Raw genomic sequence first — 17,234 nt, forward strand, 5'->3', positions numbered from 1 at the left:
ATTCTCTTTGACACATTGGTTAACCTAAAATTACTGCGCTGCTTAGGACATTGACTGAAAATCGTAGTCTTTCAGTTTGTGGCTGCTCACAGGATTTTTTTTTTTTTGCTTTGGCTTACTAAATAATCTTTTATTGGAGTTAAAACAACAAAGCTAGTAAAGATATATAAATCAATGCCAAAAAAAAGGAGACAGGTCTACTTATATGCCATTATCTTCTGTTATTGCCATTGGATAGAAGACAGACATTATCATTTTTAATCAATTGTATACTTCATAAATATGATACAACAGATATTTTTACTTCCAAGATTATACATAGAGTTTTTATGATTCCTTTGTGAGTGTGAACTACATAGCTGTCCCTAAAACATAATTCAGAACAGAAAGGTTTTATTTTTAATTATATAATTTTCTTGCCCAAGTTATATGGATTCATAGGTTATAGAATGTATAACTTAATATACATTTTTTGCATTTTTTAAAATTTACTATATAATTTATTTGTGAAACCAAATTCGATATACAACTATGTAAACCATTAAATATGATTTGGATTAAAATAATCTTAACAGACAAATCCAAAAACACTGCATTTTATTATTTCTATTTCTAATGTTACCACCAGGTTTAAACTCCCCTAAATCATTGACTCTACCTATTATGTTTGTGTTTTGAAACATCACTCTATATTGTAACAAAACAAAAAAGGACACAATTAGTTTCATATATGTACACAAAAATTTTCAGTTTTAAATAAGGAAATATAGTTTTGAAATTTAAAAAAGTAAATGTTATAATATTTTCTCAAATAATTTACTACTCATATTCCCATTGCTTAGTTTCATTAATTTTTACAATCACATTTTACATATCCAAGATATATTTCCAGCTTTATTTTCTGAATGAACTGCTAGGATCTTAGATGAGTTTATTATTTTGCACGAGGTGCCACTGCTTGATACCTGATTGTGTGTATACCCCCTTTTTTTTTTATACTTTAAGTTTTAGGGTACATGTGCACAATGTACAGGTTAGTTACATATGTATACATGTGCCATGCTGGTGTGCTGCACCCATTAACTCCTCATTTAGCATTAGGTATATCTCCTAATGCTATCCCTTCCCCCTCCCCCGACCCCATAACAGTCCCCAGAGTGTGATGTTCCCCTTCCTGTGTCCATGTGTTCTCACTGTTCAATTCCCACCTATGAGTGAGAACATCCGGTGTTTGGTTTTTTGTCCTTCTGATAGTTTACTGAGAATGATGATTTCCAATTTCATCCATGTCCCTACAAAGGACATGAACTCATCATTTTTTATGGCTGCATAGTATTCCATGGTGTATATGTGCCACATTTTCTTAATCCAGTCTATCACTATTGGACATCTGGATTGGTTCCAAGTCTTTGCTGCCCAAGGTAATTTATAGATTCAATGCCATCCCCATCAAGCTACCAATGACTTTCTTCACAGAATTGGAAATAACTACTTTAAAGTTCGTATGGAACCAAAAAAGAGCCCGCATCGCCAAGTCAATCCTAAGCCAAAAGAACAGAGCTGGAGGCATCATGCTACCTGACTTCAAACTATACTACAAGGCTACAGTAACCAAAACAGCACGGTACTGGTACCAAAACAGAGATATAGATCAATGGAACAGAACAGAGCCCTCAGAAATAACGCCGCATATCTACAACTATCTCATCTTTGACAAACCTGAGAAAAATAAGCAATGGGGAAAGGATTCCCTATTTAATAAATGGTGCTGGGAAAACTGGCTAGCCATATGGAGAAAGCTGAAACTGGATCCCTTCCTTACACCTTATACAAAAATTAATCCAAGATGGATTAAAGACTTAAACGTTAGACCTAAAACCATAAAAACCCTAGAAGAAAACCTAGGCAGTACCATTCAGGACATAGGCATGGGCAAGGACTTCATGTCTAAAACACCAAAAGCAATGGCAACAAAAGCCAAAATTGACAAATGGGATCTAATTAAACTAAAGAGCTTCTGCACAGCAAAAGAAACTACCATCACAGTGAACAGGCAACCTACAGAATGGGAGAAAATTTTCGCAACCTACTCATCTGACAAAGGGCTAATATCCAGAATCTACAATGAACTCAAACAAATTTACAAGAAAAAAACAAACAACCCCATCAAAAAGTGGGCGAAGGACATGAACAGACACTTCCCAAAAGAAGACATTTATGCAGCCAAAAAACACATGAAAAAATGCTCACCATCACTGGCCATCAGAGAAATGCAAATCAAAACCACAATGAGATACCATCTCACACCAGTTACAATGGCAATCATTAAAAAGTCAGGAAACAACAGGTGCTGGAGAGGATGTGGAGAAATAGGAACACTTTTATACTGTTGGTGGGACTGTAAACTAGTTCAACCATTGTCAAAGTCAGTGTGGCGATTCCTCAGGGATCTACAACTAGAAATACCATTTGACCCAGCCATCCCATTATTGGGTATATACCCAAAGGATTATAAATCATGCTGCTATAAAGACACATGCACACGTATGTTTATTGCGGCACTATTCACAATACCCCATTCTTTAGACTTTTAAAATCAATACCCACTCTTCCCCACGAAACAGAGAAAGTAAAAACAACTACGAGTGGATTTCTATATCACGATGACTCATTTTCAATAGAACACTACCATAGGTCAAATGGATGAATGCATAAATAATGAATGGATTAATATCTTTTATATAATCATGTGCCACATAACAACGTTTACATCAATAAGAGACAGCATGTAAAACAATGGCTCATTAAGATTATAATAGGGTTCAAAAATTTCTATCACCATTATAGATTGATCACTCTATGAAGTTTGCACAGTAAGAAAATCACCTAACCACACACTTCTCAGAACATATCCTCATTGCTAAGTGACACAAGGCTATATTTTATTTAATGATCATGTAAATATTTGTTGAGAAAAATCTGCACTCTAAGTACCAGGATAAAAGAGATTAATAATAAATTAATGATTAAATGCACCATGATCAATCTTATCATTGAGGTCTATATGCTACATTTGGATTACATCATAAAGGCAGAGGTTAATCATCGCAACTTACACAACAGGATACAGAGTGGATCAGCAGATAATTACATAATAGAATACAGTCTGTAACCTGCAAGATGCATTAGAATTAATTAGAATCAAACCATATGTGTGACTTTGGTTTAAATGTGCAAAACCTATTAATATAGATATAGCCAGGACATTTCTATTGTGTGTGTGTATATATATATGTGTGTGTGTGTATATATATATACACACACACACATATATATATAGTGTGTGTATATATATACACACACATATACATACATATATATACACATATATATGTGTGTGTGTGTGTGTGTGTGTGTGTGTGTATATATATATACATATATATATGTGTATATATATATATTTTTTTTGTGATGGAGTTTCGCTCTTGCTGCCCAGGCTGGAGTGCAATGGCATGGTTTCAGCTCACTGCAACCTCCGCTTCCAAGGTTCAAGCAATTCTCCTGCCTCAGCCTCCCAAGTGGCTGGAATTACAGGGGCCAACCACCACACCAGGCATATCTTTGTATTTTTAGTAGAAACTGCTTTCACCATGTTGGCCAGGCTGGTCTCGAACTCCTGACCTCAAGTGATCTCCCCCCTCGGCCTCCCAAAGGTGTGAGTCACTGTACCCAGTTTGTCTTTATAAATCTTATAGAAATATTTAACTTTTAAAATCAACCACATACAATTAAGACTTTGATAAAAGTAATTAAGAAGTAAAGCAATGGAAAAAGCAATTTTTAAAAACATATATGAATGATTGAAAGCCAGGAGTAAAATTAAGAATTGTATTAAAATATCAGTATTAAAATTAGCTATATACATATTTAATTAATGCAGCTAAATTGTTAACAAACAAAATTTACAGAAGAAAAGTATGTTAACATTACTGAATCATCTTAAAATCTTATTAAAATTTAAAGTTCTTCTAAACTGAAATTATATCACAGAAAAAAATAATGTCACCTTAAAAAGTTTAGGATTAGAAATACATAATTATTTTTAAATATAGTCTTTATATATTAATTATATTTCATTAATGTCTTATTTCTTGAATAAACTTTTTTCATGATACTATTTAAGTGCCACATTCTACAATAATATGGAAAACCATTCTACAAAATGTGGCATACAGTAATTTATAGGTAGTAGAGCACACCTTTTATCTCTTTATAGCAAAAACATAATGTGTAAATTAATATAACACTAAGTCCCATATTGTCATTTTTTGTCAAAGAGCTATCTCCTTGAAAACCATCATCCTCAGATGCATCTCTAACTTAAAAAGACCTTAGAAACTGTAACAATTGTAAATGCATTATAACTTAAAGAGATATTATCTTCACATTAGAGGCTAACAGGCTTATACCTACTGATAGCTGACAAGTATTATAGGAATCCTGGCAGGCAAATTGTTGCATAAAAATTATGTAATTTACTAACTGTAAATTAACCTTTAGAGTTTAGCATCAGTCAAATAAGTAGAACAGACAATTGTTATCAAAGCCATATAAATGTCTATGAAAATTATTTTTTGCTACCCTCATTTTATCTCCGAAGAGACATCTTGTTAAAAAATGAATAACAGACACATATAAATACCTAATTACAAGCAGAGTTAAGATTAAAATTCAGCCTCATTAGGGGTGGGATAGAAATCAGTACAGTAAAGAATATTTTGGTGCAGGTAGTTTGTTTCAAACGATTCAACCTTCAACATTACTTCACTTAAATTTTAGCAAACTTTCTGCTATAATTTAAGCATACAGACCTATGCCACTAGACATATGTCCTGTGTAAGCCTGGGCTAGGGGAGCTCTATTAAATACTTACATAAACCCCAAAGATGTCCTAAGAAATAAACTTTGGAAAAACTCTGATGTGCTACAGCACGGATTTTCTCATACAGCAACAGAGCAGACACTTGAATGTAGTTATACTCCTGCTTTCCACCTCCCTGTCAAAACAATAAAAAAGGCCACAGGCCTGTGGTTCTGGCCTCCAGGGAACTGGTGGCTTCTTTAACCCACACTGCTGCTGCTGAATCCCATTTAGGTTTAGGGTTATTTTGTATATGCCTTTGTACAGGCTAAATGCTGGTCTAGTTGAAAATCAACAGAAAACAACCTTAACAGCATCTCATTTTATTGTGACTTGACTTTTTGTGTTGTTTTGTGTTTTACTTTTGGAGACAGAGTCTTACTCTGTCACCAAGGCTGGAGTGCAGTGGCATGATTATGGCTCAACCTCCAGGCTCAAGTGACCCTCCCACTTCAGCCACCTGAGTAGCTGATACCACAGGAACATGCCACCACATAAGGCTAACTTAAAGAACATTTTTTTAGATGGGATCTCACTGTGTTGCCCAGGCTGATCTTGAGCTCTTTGCCCCAAGCAATCCTCCCACCTTGGCCTCCCAAAGTGCAGGGATTATAGGTGTGAGCCACTATGCCAGGCCTCTCTCATGACTTTAAACTTGAACATGCTTTTGTGCTGTGGCCGAGTTTAGGATCCCAACCAGCCTGTGATTACTGTGGTCACCACACAGATTCCCTCTTGTTCCATCTTTTAGATTCCATCTTCTCACTCTCATAACTGTGTGGATAGTAAAACAATTATCCATACAGGTATGATATTGGCAGAGAAAATCACAAAATGTTTTAAGGAGCAAACACTTTGGGGATGGTAATAATCTTTCTACCACCTTCATTGTCTTGTTTAAGTATCTCTACATTCTTCTTTAAAAATTAGGAATATATCTTTCTTGCTCTTTCGTTGTTGTTGAACACCAGAAGGGGATATTCCTTAATTCTCCATAGCTAAGGACAGTACAGCACAATATTCCATTCAGCAGGTGAAGTCAGTATGAATGAATGCATTTCAATCAGCAAATTGCTGGTTGTGTTGCAACTCCTAGTTATGATGTTTTGCGTACTTTGAAGGGCTCCCATTAATTAAGGTATTTCTTATAAGCATTTAGAAAGATTTTTTTTTCTTGGCATGCGACTTGAAAATTTGTCCTGATATTTTCCCTGTGACAACGTTTTGTGAATTGTAACTCAGCCACTTAAGTGGCTCCTCATAATAAAGCCACATGGTATCCATGTACACATATTTAACAAATCAAACAAGTGGTTCTCAACCTAATCTCTAGAGGAGGTCCTCCTTGTTCACTTTCAATAACTATGTTGAAGAATAGATTCTAAAAAGCTATCACTAAATTTTCTAATATGTTTTGAAATTTCTGTCCACAAAATCTATAAATCAATAAATGTATAGAATAGAGCATAATAATCCAATTAACGAATTTAAGATGCCATCTAAGCAGGAATGAATGCAATAAATAGGCCTTCTTACTTCAAAATCAACTGCAGAGGTAATGCATTGCCACTAGAATTGTGTGCTGTGTTGGTAATAAATTAACAAAAACTTTGGAGATAAGAAAAATCTGCAAATAAAATGGTGTGTCATTTGTGAAATATAATCACAAAAATGTTCAGATTTTTATAGTTAACAGAAAAATTATTGTTTTTATTATCTCCAGTGTTTAACAGACACTATTCATGTATACATACAACATTCTTATAATAACTCTTGTGTCCATGTAAATAGCAGTCTTGCCAAAAAGAATTGATTATCATGTAGCAGTTTGTAAGTGTTTTCATGCACAGGCTGCAACCTTTTAGAGTGCTATTCTAATAAATTATTAATATTAACTTGATGAATACAATTCTAAGACATTTCATTTGAGGATATGTTTATTAACTATTAGGTTGGTACAAAACGCATTGCGTTTTTTGCCATTACTTTCCATAAAAAATAGAACCAGCATTTAGAAATCTACCTTCAGAAACTTAATTAAAATGAGAATTTGTCCTCTTTTACATATAGGAAGCCTGCATAATAAGCATTCTGTTGCTAGTACATAAGCTTCCCATTTTCATCAAGAACCTATACACTTCCATTTCTCTTTTACTAACTTCAATGCATGACTTCTATCTTCAAGGTGATTTCATGCTTCTAGCCACCATGTCTGTACTCCAGGACAGCAGCAGAAAGTGTAGAAAAATAAAAAAGACATACCTCCCTAATGAGTCAACTGCACTTAAGGAGCCATCTCAGAAGTTTCCCACGGCTTATTTTAATACAGCTACATCCAGATGCAAGGAATGCTGGGAAATGTGGTATTGTGCGCAGCTAAAGTTGGGATTATGTTAGTGAAAATGAGACCATGAACACTGGAAGGTTAAAAGCAATCTCTCATGACATATACAATACAGAAATTAAATTAAATCTTTAAGCAATGTGATAAACCTATGGAATGTTAACAGGCAAAAATAGCAACATTAAAAATTACAGTGAGGGAATAAGGTATGATTCGTTTGTAGATGGTTTGTGTGTCATTAATCTAGGCAAAAAGTGATAAACTCCTCTAACAGTGACCAAATGTATAAAAGAAATAATAATACACACTATGGCTAACAACATTCCATTTTGGCCTGTTTACTGTTGTTGTTAAGTCTCTATGGTTAGCATCAGAAATGTACAGTTTTGATAGCCTATGACCTCAACATGTTCAGTTTGATAGTAGAAAGGACAACATAAAGACAAACCAATCAACAAATAAGAATAAAAACTGTTAAAAAAGGACAATATTATCATAAGAACATAAGGATGTGATAATGTATTTGATATATCGTTTATTTATTGTTTTATAGTTTGATAATACATATAAATTTACTGCTCCTTCAATGTTAGAATCAATAGAATCATAGCAGAAGTAAGTAAGCAGATAAAGATCAAAATGTCACCTTTATTACTTACTGTTTGAAAAATAGTCTAAGGCTGGTTTTACAGGGTTGCTCCTATCCATCACCTGATGTGAACTTTCTTAGGAAGCTTCAGGACTACACCAAAGAACCAGAACCTGCTCCTTCACTCTGTTGCATTGTGTGGAGTGCAGGCCATCATGACTGCTCTCTACAAGAAAAAGAAAGGAAATAATTAAGAAACGCACAAAAGTTTGTGAATTGAGAATCGCAAAATAGGTATGAAATTGGTTAGCTTTCTAAATTCACCAATCTCATAACTAACACCTGTCCCCATGCAGTGCATGAGTAAAGGATGGACAGAGTCCATAATGATTATTCTAGGGAAAGCCTTCTGAGTAGAAAGAGGAGAGTTTTGCAAACAGTTTTGTACAGTTTACTCTTATTTATGCACTGATAATAAATAAGAGTTCCTAAAATTCTCTCCAGAACTCTAGGTAAATGAGATATTTCACTGCTCATGCTGTGTGACCTTCATGTCCCATCTGCCTAGACTGTAAATATGCTTTCTGAATTTTAAAAGAATTAGTATACTATGCTTACATTAAGCAAAACAGTACCCTTATTATGCAGGATCAAGTAGCACTCTCAAGATTCATGTTTATGAAAAAACACTGATGATTCTATTTTATTATGTGTCTTCTAAAGAGAAAAATACTTGTGCTCTGCCGCATAATTTTACAATGTGCTATTCTAAATACTTTCATTTAAACAAGATCATTATGAAAATGTTTTGCACACAGAAATATATTTTGAATACTTTTTTAAAAAGATCACAAAGTATATGGTCTCTGTACGTGTTCAATTATTTTAATGCTTTCACTATAACAGGAATTCTTAAAGAGGATATGTATTTGCATAATGCTGATAATCCTTTCTCATTTCTGTTTGTGCTTTGGCTGTTGTTATAACCGCTGAAAGTAGTAATTATATGAGTGTATTATCCATGATTATCTTTAGATATATGTGCATTTTCTTTAATTAAACTATAAACTCTAAATGAAAAATAAAAAAGAAGTCACCTCTTGTCTCTTTGTACAATATTAAAATTTTTTTCTTATATCCAGAGTTTCCCAAACGCCTGTTGCAAAATTTTACTTAGGGAGCAGAAAGTGGAGAATCAATATGGTAAAAAAAACTGTGTTACAGGGAAGGAGACACAGGGTAAGCATTTTCCTTATCTTCTCTCCTGTATCTACGTGCTGCACAAGCATAAATGATAGCAGTCACATGAACGAGTACTTTTCAAGAACGTAGAATATTGTGATGGAAAAAAAAACCGCTTTGAAACATCGAATAATATAAAAGCCAGTACTACTACAACTATTTTTTTACATCCATAGAAGGTAAACTATTTTTAGAGATAAAATTCCTTCTAACAGTGGTCCTGATCATTTAACCAATATTTTGATAAAAGAAGGGAAAAATGGACATTCAGTCCAAAGATGGGCATGTATTCCCATGCCCAGTCAGGCAAAACTTGTGGATGTTCTTTAAAATAACAATTCATTCAACAAATAATTTTTAAATGGCTACTGAATACCTGGAAAGGTTCTAGACACAGGGGCTATACTAATAAACAAGAAGGAACTAATTGACAAGAATGTGCTCACTGACAATGAAACATCTCCTCATGGAGCTTGAGTTCTATTTGAAAAGACAGAGAACAAAAAAATATTATTGCACAGAGTGTTAGTTATGTGTGAATTAAAAGACTGGTCAGTACTTGAAGGAGAAGGAGTGACAACAAATCTCACTTCCAGTTCTCTTTACCTGAACAGATTAATTCTATTTTGTTTCAATGCAACAGTAGTCCTACGGTTAACAAGATCCACTACACAAAGCAAACAACTTATAAAATGCATTTTTTCCTTATATTGCAAATCAATTTTAAGTGGATCTACAAATATACAATAAATAATATAAATTAGGGATCGTTTGTTTCTAAGGTAATAAGTAGATTTGTTAATTTCACATAAATAATTTCAGAAGGAGAGCAAATGTAAAAATGTGTTTTAGACAGTGGAGATGCCATTTTATTGTAAGACTATTTATAATCAAAGGTCAAAGTAATGAGCTTTCTATGTCAATGATCGTCCTTCTCTATTTCACCCAGTTCCAGACAAACCCAAGTCTTCCAAGTCTCTTCATATATCTGATCCAATAAAATCTACAATGAGTTCAGTTAGCATACATACACACACACACACACACACACACACCACACACACAAGCACACAAACACACACACACGACTGCATTGAAATACTTGCTCTAGGGAAGGAACATAGTGTATATGCAACTTGTGTACTTTCTAAGTATGGGAAGACTAATCCTTTAACAACTGCATTTACTTTCTTTCACTTCTATCGTTGCTATCTACTCCTCAGAAATCTACTTAAACAACCAATAAATATATATGATGTTGTTATGAGAGTTTTGGAAATAATTCCTAAAAATTTGCATGGCTGCCTCTTTATATTTGGCAGCTTCTATCACCCATGGGAACAACCCCTACAGAATGATCAGAATATAAAGCATGTGAGCCCTGGGTTTCTCAGGCACTGGAAGGACCTGTCAGAATCCTCTCAGGTGCGTCAAAATGGCCGGGCTTTATACCTCATCTCCATTCATGTTTGCATGTCCAGTGCTCCAGGATGACCTAACATTGAGCCAGACAATGGTTACAGCTGAGGCAAACTTTGAAGGAGCTGAGAGCTGAAGGCTGCTTTGTAATATTGCTCCTAGCAGCCAAGGGGGAAACAAATCTTTTCTTGAAGAGCGATCTGTGTCCATCGCAAAATGTTTTTTTCTTAGCTCTTGTAAAATCGAAATTGTTTGCTTTTGAATTTTTTAAAATGATTCCTTTAAGTTTCTTAATACCAAGATATCACAAGGTCAAGGAATTTTATAAAGAAGTATTTCTATTTATGTAATTTCCTAAATTTATCTATACATAAATCAGCACTAAAACATGCCTTTGATACTAACAACTTGATTGGTTTGTGAACCAAATCTGTCATGCAAATACATACGGCTGTTTTTAGATAAATTCTAAAGGTATTACCAAATCATTTAATTTTATTGTGTATCTCAATATTCTGGTTGATGTATAAGTTTAAATAGAACAAACTATTTGACATTGAAATGTTCTTTATCAAAGGAGAAGGAATACAATTTTAAAGCCACAACGAGTGACACATAGTTCTGAATGATTTATTGGCTGTCTGCCATTCTGAAATGGCTGCCAGTCAATGTTACATGTGACATCTTTCAGATAGTGTGAACTCTTTTATGCAAGTACCTTTCACTATAAAATTACAGCTGAAGATCATGACGAGAAAAGTGTGGTGTTTATCTTAATGGGCTGAAAGACCTATTTCAACAGTTACAATAATTCAGAAAAATAGTCTCAAGTCTAGTATTTCAATAATGTTATTTTCATAGATTTTAGTCTCTAAAGACAATGCTTCAGTTTTGTAGAAAATGACTTTTCTAATCATCCTGGATTTCAAAATTCTTTCCATCACTTAATATTTAAATCACTGGCAGAACTTGGCATGAGGACTAGAGAGCTGCCACCAAGCAGCCAGTCATTTTTCTTGGCTTCCCATATGCCATGCCCAGCAATAGAGCATTTCTTAGGGGCTGAGGAATAGCAGCAGTGCTAAACACAGAGATGACATTAACAGGAATGAGAGGGTCCAAGCTGTTTTCCTAGACTAATTCTCATTCAGCCTGAATCAAAGCATTTTCCTATCATTATTATAGATATTTCGCTTGTGGTATTATCTATCTTTTGGCAATGCTGATTTTTTTCTGATTATCCAAATAAGTAATGTTAATGGAAAAAATCAGATATTAGGGGAAAAAAAACTCTAGAAATAAATGTTAGCCCAAGACAGTAACAATTCAATTAATTTATATGATACCTTAGGGATTGTGTCAATTATTTTTTAAATGAACTTCTAAAAATTCAACACCTGTGTTTTCTCCTATGATTACATGTTCAACTAGGGCACAATTGTAAATGGTTGTATTTGGTTGAATTTTTAGATTGTTTATAAGTTTTACTCTCGCAGACAATAATAATGGAGTTTCTTTGAAAATAAATTTAGTTGTTCTATAACCAAGGCATAAATATTCAATTCAATAAAATTAGCAAAAATATTAAATGAAAAGTATATTATATATAAAATGCATAAATAAAATAAAATATCCTGCACTGATCATTTTATGTCTATGGTTACCCTATTGATTCTGTGCACATTTGCATGTGGGTATATATGCAATTTTATAAAATGAAGTATTCATAGTGTACATAAATTTAGTAATTATTTTACCCCTTAAAAGTATATGCAATGAGTGTCATTTACATATAAATTCTGTTAACGTGGAAGAAGAATGTTAGTCAAAAAAACTACGAATTTAACAATTTTCTGGTTAATTCAAAGGGCTTTCCAAAAATGTCTTTTAAAATTTAATTTCATTTATTTTCTCATAGCAGAATATGAGAATGAATCTATTTTGCTGCAAATTGGCTAGCAATAAATTTTTATTTTTATTATTTTAATTCTGTAAATTTGGGGAATGGAGTCTCATTCAGTATAAATATTATAATACTAATGAGATTGACTCCCTCCTTCTTAACAGTGTGCATTTTTACCCTCAGTGATTCAGTGCATGGTGTAGTGCTATAATTAAAAATGAACATTTCTTTTTTTTTAATTTAATTTTATTATTATTATACTTCAAGTTTTAGGGTACATGTGCACAATGTGCAGGTTAGTTACATATGTATACATGTGCCATGCTGGTGTGCTGCACCCATTAACTCCTCATTTAGCATTAGATATATCTCCTAATGCTATCCCTCCCCCCCCCTCCCCCCACCCCACAACAGTCCCCAGCGTGTGGTGTTCCCCTTCCTGTGTCCATGTGTTCTCATTGTTCAATTCCCACCTATGAGTGAGAACATGCGGTCCTAGGTTTTTTGTCCTTGCGATAGTTTACTGAGAATGATGATTTCCAGTTTCATCCATGTCCCTACAAAGGACATGAACTCATCATTTTTTATGGCTGCATAGTATTCCATGGTGTATATGTGCCACATTTTCTTAATCCAGTCTATCATTGTTGGACATTTGGGTTGGTTCCAAGGCTTTGCTATTGTGAATAGTGCCGCAATAAACATACGTGTGCATGTGTCTTTATAGCATCACGATTTATAGTCCTTTGGGTATATACCCAGTAATGGGATGGCTGGGTCAAACGGTATTTCTAGTTCTAGATCCCTGAGGAATCGCCACACTGACTTCCACAATGGTCGAACTAGTTTACAGTCCCACCAACAGTGTAAAAGTGTTCCTATTTCTCCACATCCTCTCCAGCACCTGTTGTTTCCTGACTTTTTAATGATTGCCATTCCAACTGGTGTGAGATGGTATCTCATTGTGGTTTTGATTTGTCCTCTCTCACCACTCCTATTCAACATAGTGTTGGAAGTTCTGGCCAGGGCAATTAGGCAGGAGAAGGAAAGAAAGGGTATTCAATTAGGAAAAGAGGAAGTCAAATTGTCCCTGTTTGCAGATGACATGATTGTATATCTAGAAAACCCCACTGTCTCAGCCCAAAATCTCCTTAAGCTGATAAGCAACTTCAGCAAAGTCTCAGGATACAAAATCAACGTACAAAAATCACAAGCATTCTTATACACCAATAACAGACAAACAGAAAGCCAAATCATGAGTGAACTCCCATTCACAATTGCTTCAAAGAGAATAAAATACCTAGGAATCCAACTTAAAAGGGATGGGAAGGACCTCTTCAAGAAGAACTACAAACCACTGCTCAATGAAATAAAAGAGGATACAAAGAAATAGAAGAACATTCTATGCTCATGGGTAGGAAGAATCAATATCGTGAAAATGGCCATACTGCCCAAGGTAATTTACAGATTCAATGCCATCCCCATCAAGCTACCAATGACTTTCTTCACAGAATTGGAAATAACTACTTTAAAGTTCGTATGGAACCAAAAGAGAGCCCGCATCGCCAAGTCAATCCTAAGCCAAAAGAACAAAGCTGGAGGCAATACGCTACCTGACTTCAAACTATACTACAAGGCTACGGTAACCAAGACAGCATGGTACTGGTACCAAAACAGAGATATATATCAATGGAACAGAACAGAGCCCTCAGAAATAACGCCGCATATCTACAACTATCTCATCTTTGACAAACCTGAGAAAAATAAGCAATGGGGAAAGGATTCCCTATTTAATAAATGGTGCTGGGAAAACTGGCTAGCCATATGGAGAAAGCTGAAACTGGATCCCTTCCTTACACCTTATACAAAAATTAATCCAAGATGGATTAAAGACTTAAACATTAGACCTAAAACCATAAAAACCCTAGAAGAAAACCGAGGCATTACCATTCAGGACATAGGCGTGGGCAAGGACTTCATGTCTAAAACACCAAAAGCAATGGCAACAAAAGCCAAAATTGACAAATGGGATCTAATTAAACTGAAGAGCTTCTGCACAGCAAAAGAAACTACCATCAGAGTGAACAGGCAGCCTACAAAATGGGAGAAAATTTTCGCAATCTACTCATCTGACAAAGGGCTAATATCCAGAATCTACACTGAACTCAAACAAATTTACAAGAAAAAAACAAACAACCCCATCAAAAAGTGGGTGAAGGACATGAACAGACACTTCTCAAAAGAAGATATTTATGCAGCCAAAAAACACATGAAGAAATGCTCACCATCACTGGCCATCAGAGAAAAATGAACATTTCAAAGACAGATTATGTGCTTCCAAATGCCAAATCATCACTAAATAGCTCTGTGGCATAGAGGAAATTTCACAACCTTTTAGTGCCCCAATTTTGTGGAAGAATGGTTAGGAGGCTATTGCAATAACAAAAGAAAATTTGAATAGCTGTATCCAACATGAAAAGATTGCTAGTAGAATTAAATGAGTTACTATAGGTAAAACAATCAGGGAAGTAATTAAAGAGAATCTGCACTAACATTGTTTTATTAATTTAAAATATCTGTACACAATCCTTTGATTCATTTGGAATTAGTTTTAGTGTATTTTAGAAAATAAGGTTTATTTTTTATTTTCTCCCAAAACAATTCTTCAAGACAACTTTTCGAACAGTAAATTCCTTCTTTGTTTATAACATGTATTTTAATAAAGTGACTTATCTTCATGATTTCTAGGACATCTGTTCTATCTAATTTATTGTTCAGCATTCGTCTGAGTATTTTCTGGGCAGCAATTAACCCCTCTGTACCTCTGAGTGCCCACATTTCCTTGATCCATTTCACCTTGCTGATGAATCCTTCTTTACTCATAGTCTAAATTTTTTTTTAGAAATTCTGAGAGTGCCCCAAACCTTGGTCTTGGGTCTTCCTTCAATCTTATTTGTCTTTCCACCTGATCTTAATTATTTACATCACATTATACCCTATCTTTATGGTGACAAATCTCAAAATTCTCTCTCTGACCTAAATTTATCATTAAAGATTTGGTTGCAACTTATTAAGAAGTCAGGTTCAATGTAATACATGCATTGTTGATTTAATATGCTCATCAAAATATTTAAAATTTTATTTGAATGCAAAAAAATAAAGCTTTTAATTTTATCTCCTATTTAATAATTTTGACAAAAACATTATACCAATCATCACTAATTATTGCTGGCTTTTAAAATATTATCTGATTAAATATTTTTGACTTTGAAAAATGGTAACAAATGCTTCTCTCTTTCTTGTCCCCTTGAACCATACTTGATATTGCTTTTTCCAAATCCGTGCCACAAGTTCAGAATATAACCTGTTAAAATATCTTCTATGTATAAACTATCTTTAAATTTTCTTGAGAGAATACTGAGTAACCAAAAGCATTGCTCCTTCACCCTACAAAAGAGAGAAAAATTTAAAAATCCCATTAATTTGTTATTTTAAATGGTAATTAAAGCTATTGTGAGGGCTCTTTTATCGGCCAAACTTGTGAACAAAAAACAGCTCAAATTTATGTGTAAATAAAATATATTGAGATGAAGCCTTTCATTCAATGTGTGATTTTCAGTTCATAAAAACACACTGATGTTCAAGAACAAAGACTGGTACGATAACTATCTACAAAATGCTTTTGTTACTAGATTTTAATTCCTTCATCAAACAGACACAGTCAAAGTTGATAGTGTCACTAGATCTAGAGGTCTATCAATATCCTTCCCACCATTTAATATGTTCTTAATCTCAGGGAAATTCTAAATCATATTCTTCTAAATTGTACAGTTGACTCCTGAACAACACAAGGTTTAGGGGCATCAAACCTCCCTAACCCCTCCCCACCACCCCAGCACAGTCAAAAACTCACATATAACTTTGGACTCCCCAAAACTAAACTAAGAGCCTAACTGTTGACTGGACAATCCTTAACACATATTTCGTATGCTGTATGTATTTTACACTGTAGTTTTACAATGAAGCTAGTTACAGAAAAGAAAGTGTTATTAAGAAAATTATAGGGAAGAAAAAATACGTTTACAGTACTACAGTATATTTATTTCTCTCATAAGTTTACAATCCTGTGTTTACAAGATGGATCCTTCTTCTGAAATGGCGGCACACACAGCTGCAGACCTCAACCTAGGGTACCTATCAAGCAATTCATTTTTTTCCTGTAATGTCAGGACCCTTCTCTGTTTCCTGGAAGAACTTTCAGCATCACTAGCAGCACTTTCTACAGGTCTGAAGGTGTTATTCAAGGTTTATGGTATTGCACTAGACATCATGAATAATACAGGAGAAACATGAGAGATCACTTTTTACTGTGTTAATTTACTGGAGAGACAAGCTACTCACAAGAAGATGATTAGCATTATGTGGCATTTTAAGTGAATACTCACAACACTTGAGTTCACTGCAAGAACAACAGGTGGAGGCTAGGAAATTATCCCAGTAGTACAGTATGTACTGCAGTTAATTTTGTGCAGTTATGATTTACTTTTGTGTATTTTTGTTTTACTTTTCTCTAAACTTCAATTGGCTGCATGTATGCTCTGTGTGTGCCTACATCTTGATAAATTTTAACTTTTTATAATAGATGCATATATATTTCATTGTATTAAATGATCACTAGTATCTACATATAATTTATGCATTCATGACTTATCATTTCCTTAGTTTTTTAATATTTCTCGTGTAGATGGGTCACCTGTTATCTTTTTCAATTTTTCATAAATCTCCAAAAATTTTCTAATATATTTATAGGAAAAAA

General features: G+C 34.1%; 1 pseudogene across 1 annotated transcript in view; it reads right to left on the reverse strand.

Moving 5' to 3' along the window:
- Positions 1-17,234, reverse strand: part of GUSBP2 (GUSB pseudogene 2) — an 85,068-nt pseudogene that overhangs the window by 45,709 nt on the left and 22,125 nt on the right. Inside the window, exon 3 of the transcript NR_003504.3 lies at positions 7,925-8,080. The product of NR_003504.3 is annotated as a GUSB pseudogene 2 (transcript). The remainder of the gene's footprint in view (positions 1-7,924; positions 8,081-17,234) is intronic.

This window comes from Homo sapiens, chromosome 6, assembly GCF_000001405.40.
Source record: "Homo sapiens chromosome 6, GRCh38.p14 Primary Assembly".
NCBI classification, from domain to species: domain Eukaryota; kingdom Metazoa; phylum Chordata; class Mammalia; order Primates; family Hominidae; genus Homo; species Homo sapiens.